This window comes from Homo sapiens, chromosome 15, assembly GCF_000001405.40.
Source record: "Homo sapiens chromosome 15, GRCh38.p14 Primary Assembly".
Classification (NCBI taxonomy): domain Eukaryota; kingdom Metazoa; phylum Chordata; class Mammalia; order Primates; family Hominidae; genus Homo; species Homo sapiens.
The window spans coordinates 86,184,938-86,207,422 of record NC_000015.10 but is presented as its reverse complement, the minus strand read 5'-3'; the positions used below and the strand labels follow the sequence as shown (position 1 = coordinate 86,207,422).

Genomic DNA, 22,485 nt, shown 5'->3' with positions numbered 1-22,485 from the left:
ATCGTGAAAATGGCTATACTGCCCAAGGTAATTTATAGATTCAATGCCATCCCCATCAAGCTACCAATGATTTTCTTCACAGAATTGGAAAAATCTACTTTTTAAAGTTCATATGGAACCGAAAAAGAGCCTGCATTGCCAAGACAATCCTAAGCAAAAAGAACAAAGCTGGAGGCATCATGCTGCCTGACTTCAAACTATACTACAAGCTACAGTAACCAAAACAGCATGATACTGGTACCAAAACAGAGAGATAGACCAATGGAACAGAACAGAGCCCTCAGAAATAACACCACACATCTACAATAATCTGATCTTTGACAAACCTGACAAAAACAAGAAACGGGGAAAGGATTCCCTATTTAATAAATGGTGCTGGGAAAACTGGCTAGCCATATGTACAAAGCTGAAACTGGATCCCTTCCCTATATCTTATACAAAAATTAATTCAAGATGGATTAAAGACTTAAATGTTAGACATAAAACCATAAAAACCCTAGAAGAAAACTTAGGCAATACCAATCAGGACACAGGCATAGACAAGGACTTCATAACTAAAACACCAAAAGCAATGGCAACAAATGCCAAAATAGACACATGGGATCTAATGAAACTATAGAGCTTCTGCACAGCAAAAGAAACTACCATCAGAGTGAACAGGCAACCTACAGAATGGGAGAAAATTTTTGCAATCTACCCATCTGACAAAGGGCTAATATCCACAATCTACAAAGAACTTAAATTTACAAGGAAAAAATCAAACAATCCCATCACAAAGTGGGAGAGGATATGAAAAGACATTTCTCAAAAGAAGACATTTATGCAGCCAAAAGACACATGAAAAAATGCTCATCATCACTGGCCATCAGAGAAATGCAAATCAAAACTACAATGAGATACCATCTCACACCAGTTAGAATGGTGATCATTAAAAAGTCAGGAAACAACAGATGCTGGGGAGGATGTGGAGAAATAGGAACACTTTCTCACTGTTGGTGGGAGTGTAAACTAGTTCAACCATTTTGGAAGACAGTATGGCAATTCCTCAAGGATCTAGAACTAGAAGTACCATTTGACCCAGCCATCCTATCACTGGGTATATACCCAAAGAATTATAAATCATGCTACTATGAAGATACATGCACATGTATGTTTAATGCAACATTATTCACAATACCAAAAACGTGGAACCAACCCAAATGTCCAATGATGATAGACTGGATTAAGAAAATGTGGCAAATATACACTATGGAATACTATGCAGCCATAAAAAAAGGATGAGTTCATGTCCTTTATAGGGACATGGATGAAGCTGGAAACCATCATTCTGAGCAAACTGTCCCAAACACTGCATGTTCTCACTCATATGTCAGAATCGAACAATGAGAACACTTGGACACAGGGCAGGGAACATCACACAGAGGACTGTCGTGGGGTAGCGGGCAGGGGGAGGGATAGCATTAGGAGAAATACCTAATGTAAATGACGAGTTAATAGGTGCAGCAAACCAACATGGCACATGTATACCAATGTAACAAAGCCACACGTTGTGCCCATGTACCCTAGAACTTAAAGTATAATCAAAATAAAATTAAATTAAAAACTCAACAGCAAGAAAACAAGCAGGCTGATTTTTAAAATAAGCTAAAAACCCTAACAGACACCTTATCAAGAAGACATACAGATGTCAAAGCATAGGGAAAGATGCTTCACAGCATATGTCATCAAGGAAATGCAAATCAGAACCACAATGAAATACCAATACATACCTATTACAATGACTACAATCCAGATCACTGACAATACCGACGAATGGTGAGGATGGAGCAACAGGAATTCTCACTCATTGCTGATGCGAATGCAAAACGGTAACAACCACTTTGGAAGACAGTTTGACAGCTTCTTACAAAGCTAAACAAACTTTTATTATACAATCCAGCAATTGTGCTCCTTCGTATTTACCTAAATGGGTTAAAAACTCATCTCCACATGAAAATCTGCACATGGATGTTTACAGCAGTTTTATTCATAATTGCCAGAACTTGGAAGCAACTAAGATTTCCTTCAGTAGGTAAATGAATAAATAAACTTTGCTACATCCTGACAATGGAATGTTATTCACAACTAAAAGGAAATGAGCTATCAAGCCATGAAAAGACACAGAGAACCCTTAAGTGCATATTGCTAAGTGAATGCAGCCAATCTGAAAAAGCTACGTATGTGTGATTCCAACTAAATGACATTTTGGAAAAGGCAAATCTATGAAAAAATCAGTGGTTGCCTGGGGTTAAAGGAAGAAAAGGATGACATTACCCCCAACATAATAAAAGGTTCTGCCCTGTTTGACAGTGAATTGTTGAAGCACAGAGGATTTTTAGAGCAGTGAAATTACTCTGTATGATACTATAATGGTAGATTCATATCACTATAAATTTCTCCAAACCCAGAGAATGTACAACACCAAAAGTCAGCTCTGATGTAAACTATGGACTTTGGGTGACAATGAAGTGCCAATGTAGATTCAGAAATTGTAGGCTGGGCACGGTGGCTCATACCTGTAGTCCCAGAACTTTGAGAGGCCAAGGCAGGTGGATCACCTGAGGTCAGGAGTTCAAGACCAGGCTGGCCAACATGGCGAAACACCATCTCTACTAAAAACGCAAAAATTAGCTGGGCATGGTGGTGCACGCCTGTAGTCCCAGCTACTCGGGAGGCTGAGGCAGGAGAATTGCTTGAACCCAGGAAGCAGAGGTTGTAGTGAGCCAAGATTGCACCACTGCACTCCAGCCTGGGTGATAGAGTGAGACTCCGTCTCAAAAAAACAAAACTAAACGAACCAATGAATGAACAAATGAAAGAGCAAGCAAGCAAAGAGAAGAGAAGAGAAAAAAGGAAGGAAGGAAGGGGAAGGGGAAGGGGAAGGGGAAGGGGAAGGGAAAGGAAGGGAAGGTAAGGGAAGGGATCAATGCACCACTCTGATGGGAGACACAGATAACAGGTAGGGGGCTCTGCATGTGCAGGGTAAGGGGTATATGGGAAATCCCAGTATCTTCTGCTCAATGTTGCTGCAATCTTAAAATTGCTCTAAAAATAATACTGAGTAAAAATTAAAGAATACCAGGAGTGAGCTGGAATGGTGTGAGGAAGGACAGGGGGCAATGAAGGTACTGAGTTGGCAGGAGAATATGGTGCTAGGTAGTTTTCTTGGCTCCACTGAGTATTGGGACACAGAAAGCATAGAATGAGGATTCCTCTAAGTGGCTTGACAAGCTTAGAGCTCTTCCTAGTGAGGCTTCCAGAGCCACAGGTACAGTCCACCTGCTTTTTTCAGCCTCCCTATAAAGATCTTGGCTATTGTCCCAGACTCCTCATCCATCATAAGTCTCATCCTTCACTCTTTATCTAGGAGTGTCATGTAAAGTGTAATATCTTGCCAAGAGTGCAACATAAATAAATTTTTATTTTATTTTCAGTTTTGTTGCTTTTTCCTTTTGAATTATTGAATCATCACATCTATTGGATCCTAATCAAGTCTTTGCATAAATAAATAAAGAATGAATGAATAAGATGAGAGACAGGGACTTCTCCTTCAAAGTAAAATAGTAACATAAATTCATTTCCTTTCCCACAATACCCCATTAATTTCAGAATGGAAATACGAAGATGAGTAACTCCGTAACAATGGAGGTAATGGCAAGGGGAAGTCACCAGTCAAACAAATACCTCAACAAATTTTTGAAAGAAAAGACACAAAGGAAGTCTATTGACAGATTAAACAGAGTAAAGGTAGCCACAGTCCAAAAATAGCTGTGGTCAGGTAGCAAAGATGCTGAAGTCCAAGTAGGAGTCAATCTGTCAGTGAGAAACTCAAAAAGCCTGTGAGTCAAAATTCTATCCAACTATCCACTCCTCATCTGAAACACCACAGTTTCTTATACTTGAGAAATACACAGATACTGTGTATTTATAAAGACAAACAATATTTAGGTTGCCAGTTTCAGAAACAATGACCTTAGAAACTAGCCTTATAAAAATATTTTCAGCTATAAGTTATCAATGAAAAGTTTTCTATATATTTTTGGTAGGGTAGCACATTTGTGACTATCTTTAAAACGTAAGCATAACATTTTAAAATTGCTATCAAGCTCTCAGGCTCTTGAAAATGTGTTGATCTTAGATTTTCAAAAACGAATCTGTACCATGAAGCATTTCCTGATCCTCTATCCAGATGTGAACTCCCAACTTTTGGATTCCCCTCAGCATCTCAGTAACTTTTATGGTGATTAGCATCATCATCATCATCATCATCATTATCACTATCATTATTCTTTTTATTTTCAGAGACAGATTTCTTTTTGTCACTCAGGCTGGAGTGCAGTGGTGTGATCACAGCTCACTGCAGCCTTGAACTCCTGGGCTCATGCAATCCTCCAGCCTCAGCCTCTCAAGTAGCTAGAATTACAGGCATGAGCCACTGTGCCTGTCCTTATGGTGATTATTAAATAGTAATTTGTGCAATTGCCTCAGCCTCCTTATGCAATCTTAAACCCCTCCAGAGCAGGGATGGACCCTGATAACTCTAGAAGCACTTAGCACCAGGGCTTTGCCTGTGATAAGCCACTACAGTTCTTATCTGAATCAAAAATTTCCACAAGTTTCATATGGGTGAGATGGAGGGCAATTTTTCCAGTATGGTGACCCAGCTCCTTTCTGGATTCTCAGAAATATTATAGGAAATAAAAATATTGAAACTTTGGTATTTTAAGGATTATAAAACATTACCCCCAACATAATGAAAGCTTCTGCCCTGTTTGACAAAGCATTGTTAGTCAGTGGAATCCACTGAGTACTTGCAATGTGGCAGGTGCAATGTCAAGGTCCTTATTCACTCATTTCAATTGTTTTTACAACAAATCTGAGGCTGTCTCATTTTACTATGAAGAAACTGAGACTTAAGAAGATTAACTTTTTCAGTGCAGGTCTTCTGATCTCTATAGCACAAGGATATTCTTACAAATAATTGAGAGAGAAAAAAATAGACAAAAGGAAGAAGTGAGAAAATAGGGTCATATGACAGAGCCCCTTCCTCCTGTGCCTAACACAGGTTTACCTGTTTTTGTTTTGTTTTTTCAGACAGAGTCTCACTCTGTCACCCAGGCTGAAGTGTAGTGGCACAGTCTTGGCTCACTGCAACCTCTCCCTCCTGGGTTCAAGGGATTCTCCTGCCTCAGCCCCCAGAGTAGCTGGGATTACAGGCGCACACCACCATGCCTTGCTAATTTTTGTATTTTTAGTAGAGATGGGGTTTCACCATGTTGGCCAGGCTGGTGTCGAACTCCTAAGCTCAAGTGATCCACCCACTTGGTCTCCCAAAGTGCTGGGATTACAGGATTACAGGCATGCGCTCCCATGCCTGGCCACACAGGGTTTACTTGTTGCTGAACTTTCCTAATTGGTTAAATGGATGAACTCAAATTGGCCTTCTTTGTCTGCCAGCACCGCCCCCTACATGTGCCCAAACCTATCTGTCCTTGTGTGAGTTGCCTATAAAGGCCCTTTAAAGAGAAGGAACTTCTAACCCATTTAAATCCGTGCGGCCTACTGAAGTAGCTGACATGACAGATTCAGTTACTGAAGCTCCACATAAATGATTTTTGTCAATGAAAAGGATGCCCTAGATTCCCAAGGGGTCCTGAGAATTGGGCACATTAGTCTTTAATGCTGCACTGCTCCATTGTGCTCCCCTCTCCTCCCTCCAGCTGCCAGGTTTTGCACCATGGTGAGGTAGAGGTAAATGCTAGCTGCTATCACCTAATCTCTTGACTAAGCTTTCTCAGTGAAAACAACATCATAGACTCTGTGTTGAGAGGGAAAGGATCTGTCAACCCATTGAGTCACAGTGTTTTGTGATAACATCATCTCTGTGGGCTGAAAGGCATTTTCTATTCAAGATAGCTCCTACTCTGCCTTCAAATGTCTCAGACATGGCTTCAGGACACTGTGCTTGCTATATCTAGATTAAAAGACAAGAATGATAGTCAAATGATATCTGTAATCAACATCCTACCCAAGGTTGCCTTCCTAAATATGAAACTGCAAGAAACTTCTTTTTCTTCTTAAGGGTACAGAGATGGAGAAGATTTGAAAAATGTCATTATATCCTACATAGAACTTCCCATTATCTTTCCTAGGTCTTGATTGATCTATAGATAAGTACACAGTCGTTTTAAAACACTGGTAGCCTGGACTATTCCTATTCATTATTAAAATTATATTAACCAAGTAGAGTATAATGGTAATAATAGACAAGACTATTTATCATATATAATTATACATATTTATGCATGTGTATCATTGAATACATACTTTAATAAACTTATGATTATTAGTATAATTGTAATTATACTATTACTATATGCCTTGTACTTTTACTGTATGAAAACATTTGGATAGGAGTTTGAATAAGAAGACAATTTTATTTTCCAATTTAAAGAATTCATGATTCCTCGCCAGGCACAGTGGCTCACACCTGTAATCCTAACAATTTCGGAGGCCGAGACAAGTGGATCACCTGAGGTCAGGAGTTGGAGACCAGCCTGGCCAACCTGGTGAAACCTCATCTCTACTGAAATACAACAATTAGCCGGGCGTGGTGGCAGGTGCCTATAATCCCAGTTACTCAGGCGGCTGAAGCAGGAGAATTGCTTGAACCTGGGAGGCAGAGGTTGCAGTGAGCCGAGATCGCGCCATTGCACTCCAGCCTGGGTGACAAGAGCGAGACTCCATCTCAAAAAAAAAAAGAAAAAGAAAAAGGATTCATGATTGCTTAAAACAACACCATGATGGGAGCAAAAAAAAAAGGGGGGGGGGGGTAGGGGTCTATTACTCTAGAGTAGGATATAATGCAACTAAAAAGTGCTATAAAATAAACACCTTTAAACAATAAAGCATGGGAAACATCTCAGCTTCCAGTATCTGAAATCTGTGATAATTTGTAAGTCACTGTTGTACAGAAAAATGCCATAGATGGCATAAATGAGGTGCTAAAGATTAAGTGGACTTGGGAAAGATCTTCTTTCTTATAATTTGTTGAAATCAGGAAAGGAAGCTCACTAAAAAAATTTTAAGTCTCTGATCCATCAATTTAATGACACTGGTTCTTTTTCTTTTTTTATGTATATGTGCTGTCACCTAAAATAAATCCAAGCCTAAATGAGGCTTTAAATATGAATAAAAGAAAAATTAAATTGTCATAATTTTAAAAAATTAAATTGACAAATCTTCCAAAATACAGCTCTGGACCTTCAAACAACTGAGTCAACAAACTGAGACACGTGTATAACAATTAACAGCGTTTGCATGGAAATTGGATTTTCAGAATAATCTTTATGTTGTAAATCAATTCAATCCCCAATGGTAAACACAAGAATACCTTGGCTCTTGCAAACAGGACAGTTGTGCAAACTCACAGGCATGTTAGAATCACCCATGTTTATCTTCACAACCCCATTAATAGGATTGGATGGCTTTAGGGATTAAATGGCTTGACTAAGGTGACTTTTTGTCACTTTCAGAGTATTTGTTGATACATAAAATTAGATTCAAGTAATATAAATTATGAGAAATAATTTTCCTTATAAACACTACGCAAATTTTAAAAACTTTTATGGAGGCCAGAATCTTTCATGTTGCCAAAATCCTGCCTGTTGATTCATTAGTCAGATTTACTCAATTCAAGCCACGTAGCTAGAAGGAGAGTTCATCCAAGATGAAATAAGTCAGCTGCTGAGTAATGTCACAATTTCCGTAACAGTTCAGTGTCACAAATGAAAGAACAAAGTACTTGGTCCCCTAAAGAATGGGAAGTTAGCACTTCAGGTGCACGAGGACCAGACGGGGACCATCCAGCACATGGGTATTCATTAGTGCCCTATATTATCATGGCTTTTGAGAACTATTAGCCAATTACATTTTGCCATGGCCAAATGGCCAAATGTCTTGAGAGCCTCAGGAAGTTACATCTTCTTTTAAGGCAACAAACAGACACAGACAACCTGAAGTTCTAGAATAGCAGGTCCAAAATTATATATTTTGGAGATATATATATAATATGAGATGTTTCATGTTCAGATAAGTGTGGAAACCACTTCACGCAACATTCTCCCATACTGAAGTGGTTGAAAGAATTATAATACATCTACACAATCTATCTATATAACCTTTATAAAGAATGAGATAGGGCTATGTATTTTGTTAAATGGTAATACACAACTTGTATAACAGTAAGTAAATATCAATGTTAAAAAAATAAAAAGTAAACAAAGCATGTATGTATAATGATTAATGTATGTATACATACACAAACATATGCGTGCATTTGGTAAGTATTAAAGCGACTAGAAAACTACACCACAAATTATTTTTAGCAGCAATCTTCAAGGCTAGAATTGTCATAGAGAGAGGAATCTCATTTTTTTCTAGAAACTTCTGTTTTACTTTAATTTTTATCACATTGATATAGGTATTAGTCTTCTACAGCAATAATAATAAAATATCAAGACTAGGTGGCTTAAGCAATAGAAATTTATTTTCCCACCAGTCTAGAGGCTGGAAGTCCCACATCAAGGCCTGGGAGGGTCAGTTTCTGCTAAGGGCGCCCTTCTTGGCTTGCAGACAGCACTTTCTCACTATATTCTTACATGGCCCTCCCTCAACACATGCACACATACACACACACAGAAAGAGAGAGAGAGAGAGAGAAAATCTTCCTCTTCTCATGAGGCCATCAGTCCTGTAGGATTAAGATCTCACCCTTATGATCTAATTTAATCCTAATTACCTCCTAAAGACTCTGTCTCCAAATTCAATCACATTGGGGATTAGGGCATCAACATATGAATTTCAGGGGGACTCAGTTAAGGCTCTAGCATTCTGCCTCTGACCCCTTGAAATTAATATCTTTCTCTCTTGCAAAGTACATCCACTCCATCCCAACAGCTTCAAAAGTCTCACCTCATTTTAGCATCAGCACTAAAATCTCAAGTCCAAATTCTCATCTAATTATTGTCTAAGTCAAGTACGGTCGAATACAATTGTATTCAGAATACAATCTATTCTCAGGCAAATTTCTCCATAGCTGTGAGCTCATGAGACCAGAAAACTTATGTGCATTGAAAATACAATATTAGGACAGGTATAAGACAGGCATTCCCATTCCAAAAGTGAGAAATCAGACCAAAGAAAGAGATGACAAGTCCCAAGCATGTTCCAAACCTAGCAAGGCAAATTCTGTTAGATTTTAAGGCTGGAGCATAATCCTTTCTAGTTCAATGCTCTGTCACCCCCATGACTCTGTCAGTTAGAGATCCTGCCCCAACACTCCAGGAAGAGATAGCTTGGCCTCTTGAAACCAAGGCAGTGACCTCACCCAACCTTGCACCCTGGGCCTGTATACTCTGGGCTGTGATGTGAGTGGTAGCCTTGATCATCTCTGAATCATCTTTGGAGTCTTTCCTTTTTTTTTTTTAAAGAATAGCTCATGTTTTCAGTGAAATAGCTCTGTTGTTCTGTCCTGAAGCATCCAAGAATCTGACAGTCTTTCTTCACTTAGTTCCTTTTGCTCTATTCCCTTCAGTCCAAGCTGTTTTCTGCCCATATAATCTCATTATCTCTTTATCAAGTAATAGTCCAGCCATACTCTTAGTGTTCTCTTTAGAACATGCTTCCTCACTTTTTGCAACATGGATAGGCTGAGAATTTACTAAATTTTCAAGCTCTAGTTCCTTTTTGCTTAACAATTCCTTTGTCAATTTCTTTCTTCTCTAGAATTTTCTCTAAGCATTCAGGAAGAACATAGCCACATCTTCAACATTTTGCTTAGAAATCGCCTCAGGTAATTATCCAATTTTAGTGCCTGCCAGTTCTACTTTCCACAAAACACTAGAACACCCAAGTTATTTGCCACTTCATAACAACGATGGCTTTTCCTCCAGTTTCCAATAACTTGTTTCTCATTTCCATCTAATTCCTTGCCAGAATGGCTTTTGATGTCCTTACTTCTACCAACGTTCTTTCCATCGCGCTGCACTTATTCTGTAAGCAGGTGGAGGCTTTCTCTGCGTCTCTCCTCTTTCCTTTTTCAGTCCTCACCAGAATTGCCTTTAATGTCCATATTTCAACCAACAGTCCCTTCACAGCAACCTAGGCGTTTTCTGGCATGCACCTCAAAACTCCTCCAGCCTCCACCCATTACCCAGTTCCAAAGCTGCTTCTGCATTTTTAGGTTACAGCAGCACCCCACTTCTCAATACCAAAATCTGTATTTGTCAGCTCAGGCTGCCATAATAAAATGTCAGAGACTGGGTGGGTTAAGCAACAGAAATGTGTTTTTTCACAGTTCTAGAGGCTAGAAGGTCTGGCAGGGTTGGTTTCTGGTGAATTCTCTTTTCCTGGCTTGCGTTTAGCTGCCTTCTCAGCATGTCCTCATATGGCCTTTCGTGTGTGTGTGTGTGTGTGTGTGTGTGTGTGTGTGTGTGTGTGTGTGCGCGCGCGCGCACATGTGCACATTCGCATATGCAGGGAGAGGAGGAAAGAGAGAAAGGAAAATCTCTTTCTCTTCTTATAAGACCACCAGTCCTATAGGATTAAGGTTTCATCCTTATGACCTCACTTAACTTTACTCCTAAAGACCCCATCTTAAAATACAGTAACATTGGGGGTTAGGGCTTCAACATATGTACTTGGTGGGACACAATTCAGTCCATAGCAGTGTATTTCTTTAGAAAACGTTGTTAGTGATCTACTTGACACTTAATCCCACATAACTCCCTCCAATTTTGTGCAGGTATTACCCACCCCATGTGTATCCAGGTGCTTAAAGGAGAGCTCACCCCTTCTCCTTGCTGTTGATTGATGTAGGAATAAGGCTAATACCCAATTCTGTCCAAAGATACATGAGAAACAGTACATTTGGGGATTCTGAGACAAGTTTCTTCACACCTAAGGGCTCTAGGAACAAATGGCCACTCCTCTTCTTAAGGATATTGCTATTGTAGATTTCAGGACACTCCCTCTACCACTAGGTATGCAATCAACACTGAGTATGGCAGAGGCGAAGATGGAAAAAACTAAGCCTGTGATGCCATCACTGAGCCACTGAATCAACCAACCCTGACGTCCATCCTACATCTGAACTCAGTTGCATGAAATAAGATTTCTTTCTGCTTAAATCATTTAAGTCAGAATGCATGCTACATGCGGCCAAAGTCATCATAAATGATATAATTTATTTGAAATATTTAAAGTAGATCTCTGAAAAAAACTAAAAAATCACTTTCTTAAAAATGTACAACATATATTAGTATGCTAAAAATCAGATATCCTATGGTTTTTAAAAAATGTCTTATGGCATTTGAACTGAAGCTCCCCAAATTTATTTGACCACGAAATCTTTTTATTTTCTCCTCAGTAAGTCTTATGATCCTCAACAAAAGAGAATAGTTGTTGAAAGACGCCCCCACGGCAGAGCTTGGATAGACTTAGAAATATGGGCAAATGACAAACCTTGAGTTAAACAAAAAAATAAATAAAAAAGCAAAAATCCCCCAGGAGAGGAAATATTTGAGGGACTTTTAAAATCTTGCATAGCCAGTATCTATATTTTTGCTATCCTGCTCTGTGGTTTAGTTGCCATTTAAACCACGTTTTGCCAAAAGTCCTCAATAAAAAATGCTATATGGACATTTATTGGTGAACACTGAGAGTGACAGGATGCTGGATTTCCCACCAGATTTGGAGTCAAATCTCACTTTAATCTAAAGACATGGGAATCCCAGCAAGCCAGATGATTTGCAGACTTTTAAGAAGCTGTAATAGATATCCAATCTTTTTTATTTTCTAGGCATTATTTTGATAGAAAAATTACTTTGGGGAGCTTTTTATTCCCTGAATCTGATTAACAAAATAATGTTAACTGTGTGTTAAATGCAATAAAAACTACCAAACCCTGTGAAAAATAAACACTACAACATGACCTCACCTTCAGAACAGTTACAGCCAAGGACACACATGTATGTGTGTGTCTAATTTAGTCCAGGATGACTATATGCAAATTCAGCCAGTCAGAACACCCCCAACATGCCCTTCACCAAGGTACCCTTCAACTAGGAGTTATCATCGCCATGATTTTACAAGGATTTGTGGGATGTTATGATTAACATCTGTCTTTCCTATAGATCTATAAAACTCAGGACAGAGACCATATCTTTTTCTACTCATCAGTCCTTCCCCAGCACCCACAAAATACCCAGCCTATAGTAAGCTCTCAATAAATGCATGATGAAAAAGTGAATACATGAGTGAATAAGGCATTTAAAAACCCTCATAGATCAATTGAAGAAGTAAATCACTCATGCTTAGTGACTATAATAAAAGAATGAATTTATACCCATCATAAAATAGTGTCTACAGGTGGAAGAGAACTTGTCAGACAGTATATTTGTATCAAGTTCTACAGTAAGACCTAAATGACAAATTGTAGAAATATATATCTTTCCTTACATATGTCTTTTGCCTAAGACCTTGCTAGCTTATTCAGGTCTAGTTTGATGAGGTTGGGACTATGATTAAATCACCATAGTGTAAATTTTCAGACTCTGGCACTCCTGTTGGAACAGAGGGTTACCTGTTCTGTGCCTGAGTACTGGCCCATCTTCCCTCTTATACTAACTACCCAACACGGGGTCAGGAATTTATCTCATGATATATCTTGCCTGTTGGCTATCACCCAGGTTATCGTAGGAAAATAAGTTACACAACTGGTGAATGCTTCAGGAAGTTAGGTCTCCCAGTACACAGACACACAAACACAGAGAGCATCAATTTCCAGAATGCTCTACTTCTAAAACCATCATCATGGAAATCCTGAAGTACATTAAAAGGAACAGCATTCTGGATTGGAAAATGAAAGTAATGTTATGATCTAGCAAGGATAGTGGAAAGCAAAAGAACAGACATGGGAGAAAAGATCCCAAGACGCCCTCCACATAGACACTGTACTCTAGTAGCAGGCATCACTCTTTCTTTGCAAATGCTTAAGCATAGACCCAGACATCTTGATAAATGAGTAGGATCACGCAAAACACTGAGGAAGATGATTAAGGGAGTGGAATAATTGATATACGAGGAGAGAGGTTTTTGAAAAATCTAATTATAGAGCAGCCCAGCCAAACGATGAGTTCGCTGAGAAAGTGCAGATGTACTTCTGGGTTTGCACTCCGAAGAAAATCCCAGAGCAGAACGAGAACAAAATGAGTCGTTCCAACAGGATGTGAGTACGAGTGAAAGGAAGAAATTAAAAAACGGCAAAGTCAAGAGCAAGTATCAGGACAGAATTCCTCACAGGAGAATGTATGACTCTACAAAGATTCTGCCTCATGCCTGGCAGTCTCATTTTCAGAGACAGGACTCAGAAACTGACCCCGGTTATACTCTGCTATGCCTCTCTCTTGGCCTGATGGGCTTGCCAGAGAGGCTCTGTCATTTCCAATCAGTGTGATTGTTTAATGCAAACAGCCTTGTGTTTATGACAAGAGGTTGGTTAGAATAAACGTAGAAAATATTCCAAAATTCAAAGGTTTTGAACAGCCTCCAAAATTTGACTAAAGGAGTGACTTTCTCCAGGGGACACCTTGAGAGAATGCTTCAGACACCATTCTCTACACACTGGTCTTCTCCACTGAATTAAGAAACACGATCCCTTGTTCCAATGTCCAACCACTTCTCCTCAAGGCTTTCCAGAGCCCTGAATGAGAGACTCACAGATGCAGTCCCCCACTCTGTGCCTGTGTACAAGTCTCAAGCACCCCAAGCCTGACATTAAGCCAAAGCTACAAAGAGTGGAGAGGTGGTTTCATCTCAAGTGGGCTGCGGGGTCAAAATCAGAAAAAGACACAAGTGGGCCAGAGTGACACCTTCAGTTTGCCACCTTCTAATTTAGAAAAATGGATAAATGGGCTCTATTGCATCATTCCAGTCTCCAAAGAAGTGAAAAATTCTTCACCCAAAAGACCACATGCTCCCATTTCCATAATCATATTCTTTGGTCTCCATCTTTGTGCCTGTACTCTATCAAGTCCATTAGCATTTCATCTGGTCCTTTCGTTTCTTGGAAAAAATAATGCTTTGGGGAAGCTGGGCAAAAATAAGGGGCAAATTCACCCTCCTCTCAGTGACATCTCCAAACAGAACCAAGGAAACTGTTCCCATCTGGGGTGAAGAGGGTTCCCAAAGATTCTTTTGACACCCATCACAGTATCTGGTATGATCACATTTACTAATAAATTAAGGTGCTATCATTTCTGCAGTTATATTTATTTTTCTAAAAAATACTTTTTTTAATATTTAAAAATATTTTTGACTGAAAAATGTGAAATAAATTAAGTACAAAATTAAAATCTCTTTTTGGTGCTTATGTGTGCTTTCAATAGAAATAAATGGAATGGATGCATAATGGACAGATCACTAAATAAGATTATATATGTGTGTATATTTCCATATAGTCATGATCATACTATACAAAGTTTTATAACCTGTATCTGCATTTTTCACCTATATTTTCAGCATTGTGTTATGAATTCCAAATTTTTTCCTGACATCTGATTTTTAATGACTGAATAGTATTTGATTTTTCATATATACCACTACCTACTTCATGAACAGGCACTATGGTTCAATTTTTAAGTTATTTCTAATCTTTTAGCATTAGAAACAATGTTGTCACAAATACCCATGCATATAAATGTTTATTTTTAAATAAGAATTTTAATAGTGAAATTTCTGGGTCAAAGGAGTTAAACACTTTTATAGCTTTCAATGTGCATAGACAGCTTTAGTGTATGACCAGATCTGTTTAATCACAGCCTCGATACAAGTCAGGTTATCATTTTTTTTAGAATGGCCCATGTGATAGACAAAATTTACATGTGCACATACACATATGTATGTACATTGCATTATTGGATTCATGTTTTAAACTATATAAGTTTATAAACTTTATATTTCACTATATATTATTGAAAACATTAATATCTGTAATATATTTATATAAATATATAATAAAATGCTCCATTATATGTAAAAATTATATATACAGTATTAAAATGATCTATATTTTTAATATAAAATTATAAAAGCATTTTATTATAAATTTATAAATTATAAATGTACATGTATTTTTATATATGTGTGTGTGTGCATGTGTGTGTGTGCACGTGCATGCGTGCATGTGTGTGGGTGTGTGTGTATTGGGGGCGTGCAGGAGTGGGAGAGACAGGATCTCCATCTGCCACCCAGGACAGAGTACAGTGGCACAATCAACTCCCTGGAGCCTGGAACTCTTGGGCTCAAGCGACCCTCCAACCTCAGCCTCCTAAGTAGCTGGTACTACAGGCACATGCCATTACACCTAGCTAATTTTTGTGTTTTTTGTGTTTTTTGGTTTTTTTTGTTTTTTTTTTTTTAAGAGACAGGGTCTATGTTGCCCAGGCTTGGTCTCATACTCCTGGCCTCAATCTTCCTGCCTTGGCCTCCTAAAGCTCTAGGATTACTGCACGCAGCCCATGTGTTCATATGTTATTATAAATAAAATAAATTACTTCCTCAATATTAGGTAATAATGGAGGAAGATTTCCCAACATATATAAATTTTAAAAATAACAGAAAAATTTACAGCAGAGGCAAGTGAAGGATGCCTGACCCAGGATTTCTAAGGCCACTCTGGTAGAGTTTTCTGTCATTCACAACGGTTGGCATTCTCTCTCTTTCTATTCAGAAAGACCAGTTGTTCTTGATAACAGCATCATCCCTGGCTTCTTATAAATTATTGTCATTCTAGTTGCATTAATCTCTTTGACTTTTTCTTCTACATTCAGGGCTATCATTACAAGCCTTTGCTCTCTCTGTCACAAATTAACTCTTTTGCTGTATCTATTCTGCTTCTATTCTGTTAATTTCATTTAAAAGGAGAATTTGTGCTCTTAATTTCTCTCTCTCTCTTTTTTTTTTTTTTTTTTTTTTGAGACAAAGTTTTGCTCCTGTCGCCCAGGCTGGAATGCAATGGTGCAATCTTGGCTCACCACAACCTCCGCCTCCCAGGTTCAAGTGATTCTCCTGCCTCAGCCTCCCAAGTAGCTGGGATTACAGGCGCCTGCCACCACACCCAGCTAATTTTTTTTGTATTTTTAGTAGGGAGGGGGGGTTTCACCATGTTGCCAGGCTGGACTCAAACTCCTGACCTCAGGTGATCCCCCCGCCTCAGTCTCCCAAAGTGCTGGGATTACAGACGTGTTCCACCACACCCGGCCTGTGTTCTCAGTTTCTGTCTTCTTCAGGCATCTTTCTTACCAGCTCATTCTGTTGTTTTGGCATCCTACCCTTTGGATCTTGAGTCACTGAATTCATGATATCCTGAAATTCTTCTACACTGCAAAGCAGTTGTAGGAAATTTGCATTTGTTTCTTGGGTAATGTTTTCCCCAGCTTAAATTATTCATGTCTTTTGTACGCCGTCTTGCTTATATCTTTTAGAGGGGTTTTGCCCCTACATTGTTACCTTCTATGTTAACTAGGACAGTCCTTTCTATGTGTTTTATTCATTCTACATAAATGTCGTTAAATTATCTGTTAGTCTGTGTCCATGTTCTTTGATACCTTATTAGCTTCCCCTCAGATGTTCGGTTGGAGGTAAGGGTATTGTAAGTTATGTTTGTCTTTACACAGCCTGAGTCAGTTATATCTGCTTTTATGCATTCTATAGGAAGAGGAGGAGGGAACCCAGGTGGGCCTGGAGCTGGTTATGATGCATTTACCTAGGGAGAATTGCCAACATTTTAGAAAGTCAATCCAAGACACGGCTGTACCAAACAGACAAAAATAATAATTTTTAAAAAATTATAGACATTTTATTACTTTAACATAAAATATGAAGAATAGATGTTTACTTGAAATCATATATTATTACTTACTATTTACTTTCTATTATATAAATGCTAATATTTAAACAACAAAATAAGACTAAAAGTGGTAGTTAGTAGTAATTAATAGTAGGTATAAACAAATATATGTGAGAAAAATGTAATGATAATTGTATCAATTTTTTCTATTCTTTAACAGAGCAATTTATTTAAATCTTTTTAAATTCTCTTGGATATTAAAGAGATGCTATATATTCATCATGCTATATTAATATGTATTTTTAAGGTGCATAATACTTTTAAAAAAGAGAACATAAATAGAACTAATTAAAAATGTCTTATTACCACTATGCAATGAAAAACAAGTTTCTTTTAGTCCTTTGAGACATAGGAAAATTATAATCTTTCTGTTTACTTCTCTAATGATACTTCTTTCAAATGCCTGCACCCTTTAGGACATCCTTCTTTTATGTAGGCAAAACTATATAGCAAATGTAACATTACTTTGTCTTGCAGCTCTGCTCTCATTGAGCCTATGTTACATGGGTACCTGGTGTCAGTCCAGCATGGTAATGTCAAGGTGATATACATGCTCTCTACAAAAGCATTTGCGCTTCTACATCTTAGCCTATTTGTGTGTTGCTATAAAGGAAGACGTGAGACTGGGTAATTTACACAGAAAAGAGGTTGATTTTGCTCATGGTTCTGCAGAAGCACAGCACCGGCATCTGCTTCTGGTGAGGGCTTCCAGAAGCTTCCTCTCATGGCAGAGGTGAAGGGGAGCCAGAATGTGCAGAGATCACCATGCTGAGAGAAGCAGCAAGAGAAAGAGAGAGAGAGGAGGGAAGTGCCAGGCTCTTTTTAACAACCAGCTCTCATGGGAACTAATGGAATGAGAACCAACTCGTTACCATGAGCAGAGCACCAAGATGTTCAAGAGGGATCCACCCCCATAATCTAAATGCCTCCTACCAGGCCCCACCTCCAACACTGGGGATCCGATTTCAACATGAGATTTCGAGGGGTCAAATATCAAACTATAACAATGGAATACTTAATATTTTATTTACTGGCAACAGCAGGCTTTTAGATATGTAGGATTAGTTTTCATCCCCAAATCTCCACCCACTTTGTGTCTACAGGCTTGTTACCACAGACCAGCTTGGGCCTGTCCATCAGGTCTTTTGCATCTTTAAATGTGTGCATAAGTTCTCCAGATGTAAAATGGACATGGTTTTAAAACACGAAGTTTAACCTACCCCAGGGAAAATGGTTTTAAAGCACAGAAGTCATCTAAACTTGTGAAATTAACATTGCACTCTAAATAAATTACAAATTTAGTAAGGAAATTGAGAAAGTTCTGTTTAATTTGGTTGCCCTTTTCATTGACATTTTCTCAATTCTGAAGCTGTCTTATTTCCAAAAATTGAGGCTTTTTTCCATATAATTGTCACAACTTAAAACTATTCATGTACAGTTAATTCATCCTTTTCTAGGATACTTAATGTCTCTTCAAAGATCAAACAGCTTCAGAGAAACAGCATATAAATCTGTTTTACAGTACTCTTTTTCCCCCATTCTCATCCTCAACATATTTCCAAATTACAAGAGATTTCTTCTTGTCTCACACTTTGAAAATAGTTTACTGCAGGCCAAAGATTAAAAATCTTTTCTATGGCCAGCAACAGTATATCAAGATGTACCATCTTGTAGGCACATGTCTAAGAAGCTATCACTTCCCATTTTTATAAAGTCAAACATGTTGTTAATTGCTTCTGCATGTTCTGAGGAAACTTCAAAGTGACCAGGAACTTTTATTATGAAAGCCTCGATCCACAAGTAAGCAAATCACACCCCTTTTCAGCACTGTTGTGTTCAAGATGTGCAGGACATTTAGCAGGTAATATCTTTTTATTTCCTTTAGCAGAAAGTTTATAGCCTGAATAGAATTTGTTAAAATCTATATTAGTTACGTCTGCCAAGTCTGTAGATAGATGAGCAAAGTCTAATATGAATTTGGACAAGATTATCAACAGTCTTTTTTTTTATGTTTTCTATAGCTCCATTAAAATCTTTACAGAAATAAAGAAGATGATTTCAAACTCATTTTTTCACATCTAAGAGCTGGGGGAAACTTTTTATTCCTAACACATTACTCAGTACTAAAGAAAGCATGATCATTAACAAGAACTGACAGGATCAGCTCCATAGTGTGGGGGGCCAACAGATCAGTTACTAAAATTTCCCCTTTTTGTCAACCATACAGTATTTTAATTACAACCTCTGAATCAGGAAATGTAACTTCCTCAGTTTCACAGAAGATTCACAGAAACAATATGATAACTGTGTACACATTCATGCCATGTGCCCAAGCTAATTCAGTAGCTACTATTAAGCATTGGTATCATTTGAGAGACGAAAAAACTTTAAATTATCTTAGAAGTACTTGTATCTTTTCCTAATCTGGGCCTTTCTGTACTGTATCTATTAGAAATGCCTTGAAGAAATGCATGTGGATGATGCTTTGCTTAATTTCCAACCCTGAATGCCTGAGGTTGCAGGGAAATAAAGCAACGTAAAAGGAAGCAGCGTTTTGAGCAAGCCTTAGGGAAGATGTTGACTTCAAATGTCAATACAGATAGCTATATTTGCCAACCAAAGGACAGGATTTGCTACACCTTGGGATAGTGCATTGGTTGAGCAGTGAAAGTCATAGTCACATGTGACCTGTATATCATCTGGACAGTTTAGAGAAGGCCTCTTGAGGGATGAAGGATAGTATTCATTATTAAAACTTGTTAAATTCAATCCATTGTTCTGGGCCCTGATATGCATCATACCACTTCAATCTCACCACAGCTCCATAGGACAAGCACTATTATACCTGTTTTTAAGGTGTAAAAATTGAGGCTCAGCAGCATTAAGAAAGTTGCTTAGGGTCAATGAAAGAGAGGGAGCCCACTCTTGAACCCAAATCCATGGCTTCTGACCTAATGTTATTTTCAATAGTTTGAGGGGCTTTCAATACATCTTCTTTCAAGTCCTGGAATCCCAGAGAAGGTGATGAGGCAGAGAAGTTTCAAGTCAGAACTCTGAAGTTTTAACTATAGCTTCCAACAAGGCGGCTCTTATCTGTGTTGTATTTTGGAATTTCATTAGAATTCATTTGAAAAAGGAAGCAGGGATCTTCCGCTTTAAAAAACCTCGTAAAGAAATCAGCCTGTAACAATGTAAAGCAATGTCTTTCCTTCTCCCATATCCTTTTTTAATTGCTGATACTATGTACAATCTTGTTAACTGATTTGTGGATGGGGGTGTGTGTTGGTTTTCATTCCAATGTGTGCGTTTGCAGCATAGTTTGGATGTTTTTGCTTAAACACAAAAACGAAGAAGCAGTTACAAATGCTTTAACTTTGTTTGCTATAACGTTAGTATAAATAATAGACTAATGTCCTCAAATTATTAATGGAAATAAGCATAGCCTGGGGCTGGATGACTTGAAAAACCAGTGTGTGTTGTATAATGAAGAGAGTGTGGAATTTAGAGTCACATTTTGTCTTGAACTTCATTTCTGGTATGACCTTGTGCATGTTACCAAATTTCTCTCAGGCTCTGTTTCCTCATTTGTAAAACAGCAGCATAAAAGCCAACTTCACAGTGATGTGAAAATTAAATAAGAGAATGTACATAAAAAGAGCTGACACATTTGGGGTTGCTAACTGATGCTCCATTTTTATTGATATCGATGGATCAAATTCTTGAAAGTAATGATACCCTCTGTGAGATTTACCAACAAGAGGCCTTTGTGGCAGCCAGAGGGCTCCGTGTCAGCCTGGCTCTCGAGAATAAAACAGCACTCCCATAGCAAGCATTTTGACAGGCCTGCAGCAGGTTTGCCCTCACGTTTAACACTACACTTGAAATGGTGGCTTGAAAGGCCTGGAGCATCCATAGCACAAAAGAACAAACAATCTTTACACTGACATTGATTTCTCCATTGTTCACGTTTACTGATCAGGACGTGAGGTCCAGAGACTTGTGTTGGAATGCATAACATTTTCTCTTTTTGATTTCTTCAACTTTTATTTTAAGTTCCGGGATACATGTGCAAGATATGCAGGTTTGTTACACAGGTAAACCTGTGCTGCACAGATCAACCCATCACCTAGGTATTAAGTCCAGCATACATTAGCTATTTATCCTGATACCCTCCCTCCCCATGCCCCGCCCCCTGCAAGTCCCAGCGCCTGTTGTTCCCCGCAATGTGTCCATGTGTTCTCATCATTCAGCTCTCACTTAAAAGTAAGAACAGAACGCGTGATATTTTCAAACCCATTTTGGGGGACAGCAAATACACCTTCTCCCAAAGATTTGAATGAATTCAATTGTTCAAGTTTTGGACACCCATAAACCAGATCTAGTGATGAAATCCCACCCTATAGGAACTACTTAAAAGGTAATTTTCAAAAACAAAAGCTGAACTTGAGAGAGAAAAAAAATTTTTATTTTAGAATCCCCTTTTTAAGAAACTGGAAACGATTTTTTTAAATTATACTCTAAGTTCCAGGGTACATGTGCACAACGTGCAGGTTAGTTACATATGTATACATGTGCCATGTTGGTGTGCTGCACCCATTAACTCGTCATTTACATTAGGTATATCTCCTAATGCTATCCCTCCCCCAGCCCCCCACCCCACGACAGGCCCCAGTGTGTGATGTTCCCCTTCGTGTGTCCAAGTGTTCTCATTGTTCAATTCCCACCTATGAGCGGGAACATGCAGTGTTTGGTTTTTTGTCCTTGAGATAGTTTGCTGAGAATGATGGTTTCCAGCTTCATCCATGTCCTTACAAAGGACATGAAGTCATCCTTTTTTATGGCTGCATAGTATTCCGTGGTATATATGTCCCACGTTTTCTTAATCCAGTCTATCATTGATGGACATTTGGGTTGGTTCCAAGTCTTTGCTATTGTGAATAGTGCCGCAATAAACATACGTGTGCATGTGTCTTTATAGCAGCATGATTTATAATCCTTTGGGTATATATCCAGTAATGGGATGGCTGGGTCAAATGGTATTTCTAGTTCTAGATCCTTGAGGAATCACCACACTATCTTCCACAATGGTTGAACTAGTTTACAGTGCCACCAACAGTGTAAGAGTGTTCTTATTTTGCCACATCCTCTCCAGCACCTGTTGTTCCCTGACTTTTTAATGATCGCCATTCTAACTGGTGTGAGATGGTATCTCATTGTGGTTTTGATTTGTATTTCTCTGATGGCCAGTGATGATGAGCATTTTTTCATGTGTCTGTTGGCTGCATAAATGTCTTCTTTTGAGAAGTGTCTGTTCATATCCTTCGCCCACTTTTTGATGGGGTTGTTTTTTTCTTGTAAATTTGTTTGAGTTCTTTGTGATGGTGGATATTAGCCCTTTCAGATGAGTAGACTGCAAACATTTTCTCCCATTCTGTAGGTTGCCTGTTCACTCTGATGGTAGTTTCTTTTGCTGTGCA

At 38.5% G+C, this 22,485-nt stretch overlaps 1 protein-coding gene across 11 annotated transcripts in view; it reads right to left on the bottom strand.

The window, feature by feature from the left end:
* The window catches only part of AGBL1 (AGBL carboxypeptidase 1), a 951,857-nt gene that overhangs the window by 824,054 nt on the left and 105,318 nt on the right, over positions 1-22,485 (bottom strand). The gene's annotated exons all lie outside the window — the stretch shown is intronic.